Source organism: Homo sapiens, chromosome 2 (genome assembly GCF_000001405.40).
Source record: "Homo sapiens chromosome 2, GRCh38.p14 Primary Assembly".
NCBI classification, from domain to species: Eukaryota; Metazoa; Chordata; class Mammalia; order Primates; family Hominidae; genus Homo; species Homo sapiens.
In genome coordinates this window covers 6,290,126-6,296,824 of record NC_000002.12, presented here as the reverse complement: position 1 = coordinate 6,296,824, position 6,699 = coordinate 6,290,126, and the positions used below count along the sequence as shown (strand labels likewise).

The following is a 6,699-nucleotide window of genomic DNA, read 5'->3' as shown; positions in this document are numbered from 1 at the left end:
AATTTCTGGGCCCATCCCCAGGACCCTGTTTCTCTAGGCCTATGGTGGGGACTGAATACTTGAGTCTCTTACAAGCTCCCAGGCAGTGTTGGTGCTGTGAGCCCAGGAGGCACAACTCTGCCCTTCCCAAGAAGGGAAAATGCTCCAGAAGGAATGTCTGAGATCTAGAAAGAGATGGGAAGCAACGCAAATTGGGGCAGGGTGTTGTATAATACAAGATAAAACAAAATTTATATGACAATAATAATACGTGTTTTTTGTTTATAAAAGGATAAAAATTCATAACCGTAATAAATGTTAGCCAAGAAGAAATAAATAAAAAGAATAAAAAGCCGACTGCTCTAAGTTTGTTTTTAGTATATTAAGTAAATTTACATAATGTTAAGTGACACGTAAAAAGTAGATTTTCAAGAGTAACCACTAGAAATATAGAGTGCAGGAATATCAAACTATTATGAGAGAAAATGGAATAATGAAGATAACAGAAAAAAAAAGGAACAACAAAATGTCTTTTTAGAAAGCAAGATAAAATAATGAAAAAACTGGGAGCAATAGAAAGCAGAAGTGAAGAGTATAGAAACAAATTTAAATATGCCAATATTGATAGTCTTTCCAATAAATGTAAATCGACTAAACTTGCTAGTTAAAATATATTTTTGTATTTCAAATTATAGAAGGAAGCCTGTTATAGGCTCTTTATAAGAAAAACAATGTAGAATGTTTGGAAGAAAAAGAATGAAAAGGTTACATCAGACAAAAAGTTGTATCAGACAAAGTTTATATCAGACAAAAGCAAAGCTTGAGTAACTTTACTAAAATCAGACTAAATTGGCCTTAGGACAAAACTCATATTAAGTGTGTAACAAGGGACTATATAATAATAGAATTTGAGGCTAGGCATGGTGGCTCACGCCTATAATCCCAGAACTTCGGGAGGCCAAGGCAGGCAGATCACTTGAGGTCAGGAATTGAAGACCAGCGTGTCCAACATGGGGAAAACCTGTCTCTACTAAAAATACAAAAGTTAGCCAGGTGTGGTGGTACACACTTGTAGTCCCAGCTAATCAGGAGGCTGAGGTGGGAAGATCGCTTGAGTCCAAAAGGTGGAGGTTGCAGTGAGCTGTGATCACACAACCGTACTCCAGACTGGGCGACAGAGTGAGACCCTGTCTCCAAACAAACAAACAAACAAACAAAAAACCTAAATTATAGAATTTGGAAGGTGTAATAATTCTAAACTTCAATATACTTCAAAACAGTCTCAAATATTAAAAAAATTAAAATTGATAGAATTACAAAAATATTAGAATCATATTTAGAGATTTGCATGATTTGTTTATACATCAAATAGAAAAAATACTAGTAATATTGTATATGATAGGAAACAATGAAGTTATCAAATGTAATTGAATGGGCATCTCAGAATAGTGCATATGGAACAAATACTCTTTTGGAGTCCACACATGCAGGCACAAAAATATTTTAAAACTCTAAGAATGAAGATGCAAAAGCAGGACATGGGTTCCCCTTGGAGTAAGGTAGGACAAGTGAAGTGGAGGTGTGTGCACAAAAGGATACATGGATGAGCATTTTCCTAGTTTTTAGGTTGTGGGCTGTATTTTGGAATGCTCATTTTGTTGTAATATTTCCTAATTTAAAGTGCTACACACCTCATTTTGGATGTGTTACATATTTAAAAAAGAAGAAAAATATGGTTACTTCATAAAGCTATTGCTAAGAAATAATGCTTGGCAAAGATGCAGCTACTATCTGGCACGTAATAAGTATTTCAAAAATGTCAGCTCCATATATTTACCTACCAGAGTCCAAAGATTACCAGTAAAATGTTGTCCCTGCTTTCACAAACTCGCAGACAGTTAAGGAAAGTGAATCAGAAAGCAATTCTGTAATAAGTCTCTCAATCTGATTTCTCAGGACCCTGGATTCTTTTCACAATCAAAGAGAGCCTTTGCAAGAATTTTAAAAAGAGAATGATAGGCTTAAGCTTGATTTTTGGAAACATAACTGTCAACAAAATAGAGAATAGATTTGGAAGGGTTGAATACAGAGGGTAAGGAATAAGCAGTGGGACTAATTACATGGATCCCAAGAGAGATGGGGCTGGAAGTGTGGGAGGAACATGCGAAGGCCAGCAGGAGAAAATGTGTAAGATGTTCAGGAATGGAGTCTGACAGGTGTGGTGTCTCCAGGAAAAGGCCTACATGTCTCAGAAGATTGGTCTGTAGAGGCTGAGCCAGGCTGGGGATGGAGGTGGGGCTGTGTGGGAAGCCCTGCCTAGCAGGGGGTAGAGCCAAAGAGTCCTGGGCCTGCAGGGGAAGGAGAAGCCACCCAGGGAAGGCACAGGAGACATTTCTTTCCAAATCTGGGAGATGCCAAGGAAGACTAACAGGGAATGTGTGGTGGGAAGAAATGAACCAAGAACACAGTGTTGCCATTTCTAAGCCCAAGCTGTCCCTCCCAGGTCTCCAGCCAATCACCCCCAGGCCCTGCTCTCATATAGGTAGATTTTTTTAAAACAGCTATATCTGGCATTTATACAGGTTGCATTTCTTATTAAATTAGCACATTTTAAATATTTTTTGAACCTCAGTTTAATATTTCCAAAACTGCATCCTACTTGTATTAATCTGTTTTCACACTATTGATAAAGACATACCTAAGACAATTTACAAAAGAAAGACATTTAATGAACTCAGAGTTCCACATGGCCAGGGAGGCCTCACAATCATGGAGGAAGGTGAAAGGCACATCTCACATGGTGGCAGACAAGAGAAAAGTGTTTGTGCAGGGAAACTCCCCTTTTTAAAACCATCAGATCTCATGAGACTCATTCACTATCATGAGAAAAGCACAGGAAAGACCTGCCCTCCTAATTCAATCACCTCCCACCAGGTACCTCCCAAGACACCTGGGAATTGTGGGAGTTACAACTCAAGATGAGATTTGGGTGGGGACACAGCCAAACCATATGATTCTGTCCCTGGCCCCTCCCAAATCTCATGTCCTCACATGTTAAAACCAATCATGCCTTCCTAACAGTCCCCCAAAGTCTTAATTCATTTCAGAATGAACTTAGAAGTCCATAGTCCAATGTCTCATCTGTGATAAGGCAAGTGCCTTCTGCCTATGAACCTGTAAAATCAAAAGCAAGTTAATTACTTCCTAGCTACAATGGGGGTACAGGCACTGGGTAAATTCAGCCATTCCAAATGGGAGAAATTGGCCAAAGCAAAGAGGCTACAGGCCCCACGCAAGTCCAAAATCCAACAAGGCTGTCAAATCTTAAAGCTCCAAAATGATCTCCTTTAACTGCAGGTCTCAGATCCAGGTTACGCTGATGCAAGAGGTGGGTTCCCATGGTCTTGGGCAGCTCCACCCCTGTGACTTTGCAGGGTACAGCCTCCCATCCAGCTGCTTCCGTGATCTGGAGTTGAGTGTTTGCAGCTTTTCCAGGTGCATGGTGCAAGCTGTCCATGGATCTATCATTCTGGGGTCTGGAGGATGGTGGCCCTCTTCTCAAAGCTTCACTAGGTGGTGTCCCAGTAGAAACTCTGAGTGGGCTCCCACCACACATTTCTCTTCTGCATTGCCCTAGCAGAGGTTCTCCATGAGGACCCCACCCCGACAGCAAACTTCTGCCTGGGCATCCAGCCATTTCCATACATCTTCTGAAATCTAGACAGAAGTTCCCAAACCTCAATTCTTGACTTCCGTGCACTCGCAGGCTCAACATCATGTGGAAGCTGCAAGGCTTGCAGCTTGCACCTACTGAAGCCATGGCCCAGGCTCTACTCTGGCCCCTTTTACTCATGGCTGGAGTGACTGGGATGCAGGGTACCAAGTCCCTAGACTGCACACAGCACAGGGACCCTGGGCTCAGCCCAGGAAACCATTTTCTCCTAGGCCTCCAGGCCTGTGATGGCGGCTGCTGTGAAGACTTCTGACATGCCCTGGAAACATTTTTCCCATTGTCTTGGGGATTAACATTTGGCTCCTTGTTACTTATGCAAATTTCTGCAGCCAGCTTGTATTTCTCCTCAGAAAATGAGACTTTCTTTTCTGTCACATTGTCAGGCTGCAAATTTTCCAAACTTTTATGCTGTGTTTTCCTTTTAAAACTGAATGGTTTTAAGAGCCCTCAAGTCACCTCTCGAATGTTTTGCTGCTTAGAAATTTCTTCTGCCAGATACTCTAAATCATCTCTCTCAAGTTCAAAGCTCCACAAATCTCTAGGTCAGGGGCAAAATGTTGCCAGTCTCTTTGCTAAAACATAACAAGAGTCACCTTTGCTCCAGTTCCCAACAAGTTCTTCATCTTCATCTGAGATCACCTCAGCCTGTATTTCATTGTCCATATCATTATCAGCATTTTGGTAAAAGCCATTCAACAAGTCCCTACAAACTTACCCACATTTTCCTGTCTTCTTCTGAGCCCCCCAAACTGTTCCAACCTATGCCTGGTACCCAGTTCCAAAGTTGCTTCCACATTTTCAGGTACCTTTTCAGCAGCACCCCACTCTCCTGGTACCAATTTATTGTATTAGTTTGTTTTCACACTGCTGATAAAGACATACCCAAGACTGGTCAATTTACAAAAGAAAGAGATTTAATGAATCTACAGTTCCACGTGGCTGGGAAGGCCTCACAATAATGGCAGAAGGTGAAAGGCACATCTCACATGGTGGCAGACAAGAGAAGAGAGTTTGTGCAGGAAAACTCTTCTTTATAAAACCATCAGGTCTCGTGAGACTCATTCACTATCACAAGAAAAGCACAGGAAAGACCTGCCCCCATAATTCAAACACCTCCCACTGGGTTCCTCCCATGACATGTGGAACTATGGGAATTTCTATTCAAGATGAGATTTGGGTGGGGACACAGCCAAGCCATATCACTAGTCATTAAAAAATTTTTTTTTAAAGAAAGAAAAAAAAATGGGGGAAGATTCCCCATTTCAGAACAGCTTGCTGTTTGGAAATGAAAATTCTCTTCATGTTTACTGTGTGATTTGTGTTCATAAAATTTGAAACAGGTAAACAAAGGATCCAGGCCACTGTAACATCAAAGTACATCAAGTCAAACTGAACAAGGAAGAAAGGAAAGGAATCGTTGAACCAAAGGAGAAGGACTGGTATATAAATGGAATCAAGGAGGCAGTGGTGGCTGCAATCAACGCCTGAAGATAAAAGCCACAGCACTCAAATAACAATCCTCGTTAGAGTGACAAACAGACTGCAGCTCAGGGAAGTCTAACGTTTTAATTCTCGGAAACAACCCCTTCCTGCTTTTACATCATGGAAAACCATGCCATACTTGATTGCTCAATAAACATCCTGAAGACTGGAAAAAATTATGAAAAAGAAAAGAATGTCTTCTCAGTGGAGAGAGAGAGGTGAGCTTAATCAGAGAGCAAGGCTGACTCCCAGTCACCAATGAGGCAGGTAAAGGCTGAATATGTAAGACTGTGCCACGAATGTTTGAAGTGCATTCCATTCAGTTCTCACAGTGTCTTGGATACGTCGTTGCTACCTGTTTTATAAAGAAGAAAATGGAGATTTAGGGAAGGTAAAGGGGAAACAAAAGAGCAAAGGGAAAATGCAGCCTGAAATCAAGTGGATCTTTGAGTCAGACCCCTCTGTAGGATAAAGATTGTGACTAAGATTGTTATGGGTGCATTGGGACAGGGTGTCTGGGAAGTGCTCTGCTCATGCTAGACTGTCAGAGAACACAGGATCAGAGCTGTTTTTAGAAAACGAATTCCATTTTTTTGCTCTAGTTTTCAATGCAGAGACTGAAGCCTTCCAGCCTATATGTCTCCTGGCACATGGCCAAGAGTCAGGCTCTCTCTGGGGCTCTGGGGTGTGGCCAGTGCTGTGCTCAGACTCAAGGGGCTGTGGGTCGCCATGCTCCAGGAGCCAGGCGTGTCTTGCACTTGTGATTCCCCACACCCAAAGCTCCTCTACCAAGTCTGCAATGAAAATTTCATGCCTCCAGGTGCTGCATGGATTATTCATGAAGGCTTCAGAGCTGTCGCCATGGGAGCCAATTGACTTCAGCGTTGTTAGCATATTAATGACCTACCCTGATTTAGAGCTGGGTGGGCGGGGACACCACCTGGATTGTCAGTCACTGGGCCTGGATCAGCTTTTCCATTTGCAGAATATGTTGTTTGTTATTTCTTTCCAGACAGGCCCAGGAGTAATATTTACCTAATTGACTAATCCAAGTAAGCAGGAGGCCCCCTTGCAGCCTCAAAGGGGGTTGGTCTCAGGTCATAGCCTCCTCCCTTCCTCTCTCCACCCCACAGGCTGGGCTGCTGGGCCAGGCGCCCCAACTGGGGAGACATTACATCAGAACGACTATGTAACCAAGACCAGATCCCGCATCAGGCCTGGGCTGCCGAAGCAGCCTCTGGCATGGCAGGCAGAGGCTGGTAGATGCTGTGCAGATGTCAGGTCTAGAGCTGACAGAGATCCCTGAAAAGCTTTTAGCTACACCCCCTACATGGGTCATGGAAAAGTAGTACTAATGTATATCAATGATCATTAAGAAATGCATGAGAACTTGCAGAACCCAGCACAGACAGTGCCCAGCTCAGTGGGGGAAGGGTATCTGGGAAGGGCCCAGCTAATCCCTGTGCAAAAGCCATGGCATGACAACCAGGAGCCAGCAGAGCACC

General features: G+C 42.8%; 1 annotated feature.

Annotated features, from left to right (window-relative positions):
• Positions 4,421–5,620: an enhancer, noted in NCBI's record as "BRD4-independent group 4 enhancer chr2:6431337-6432536 (GRCh37/hg19 assembly coordinates)". NCBI's record gives its function as "activates an origin of replication core promoter dependent on BRD2, P300/CBP, MED14 and CDK7 cofactors, and independent of BRD4, by STARR-seq in HCT116 cells {active_cell/tissue: HCT116}" and the evidence as "EXISTENCE:reporter gene assay evidence [ECO:0000049][PMID:35650434]".